Source organism: Homo sapiens, chromosome 6, assembly GCF_000001405.40.
Source record: "Homo sapiens chromosome 6, GRCh38.p14 Primary Assembly".
Taxonomy (NCBI): Eukaryota; Metazoa; Chordata; class Mammalia; order Primates; family Hominidae; genus Homo; species Homo sapiens.
Window position 1 is genome coordinate 16874282 of NC_000006.12, and position 1138 is coordinate 16875419.

The window sequence follows — 1138 nt, forward strand, 5'->3', positions numbered from 1 at the left end:
TCTGCCTCCTGGGTTCATGCCATTCTCCTGCCTCAGCCTCCCGAGTAGCTGGGACTACAGGCACCCACCACCATGCCCAGATAATTTTTTTTTTTTGTATTTTTAGTAGAGATGGGGTTTCACTGTGTTAGCCAGGATGGTCTTGATCTCCTGACATCGTGATCCGCCCGCCTCAGCCTCCCAGAGTGCTGGGATTACAGGCATGAGCCACCTTGTCCAGCTGTGAATGGCACCTTCTATGTGTGCCCACATGGTTGAAAGACACACAAGATCCCATGGGTCTCTGTATAAGAGCACTATTCCCACTTATGAAGGTGGAGCCCTCATGACATAATCAGCTCCCAAAGACCCTACCTTTAATATTATCACACTGGGGACTAAGTTGCCACATGTGAATTTTGAGAGGAAATAAACATTGAGACCCCAGCAAATGGCCTGGGAACAGAAATGGCAGGTGAAACTTCTGGAATAAGGCCACTAGGAGCCTGATGTCTCTTTTATTCCTCTCTTTCACTGGAGGACACATACTCCAGATGTTGTAGCATCAAGAGGAAATTACATCAGATTTTACATAAGCAAGAAATAAACCTTTATTATATTCAGTCTCTGATATATGGGTATTTGTCTGTTGCTGCAGTTAGCTTTAATTATTTGAACAAACCTCATAGCTCAAAGCAGCATTCCCAGACCTTATGTCTTTCATAGCTTATTTTAAAATACTGTTTTTTGGAAGCACATTTAAAGGACTTTAAAAGCTTAAAACCAGTATCAATAATTACTACACAGCTACAGCAGCAGCAGAATTATGCCATATAGCATTTACAAAAGCATCCATAATCATTGGACTTTCCTTTGAATGCCCTTCACCATAGCTCTTGTTTGAAAAGGGCTATCTTCTATCTGTTCAGGTTGTCATATAGATGTATGGGAAATGTTTTGTGTAATTCAGTAAACACGCAATTTTTAAAAATTGCAGCCATTTCTGCAAGTCTCTATGCTATGTTGCATGAACTGCTCAGCTCAATATTTCTCCCATATGCATTGCTACAATGGCATATTTTTTGGTTAAAGCACACTTTAGTGATAAATAAAGATCAAACATGTGGCAATGTTTGTGGTGTATTCGTATGCCACTAAC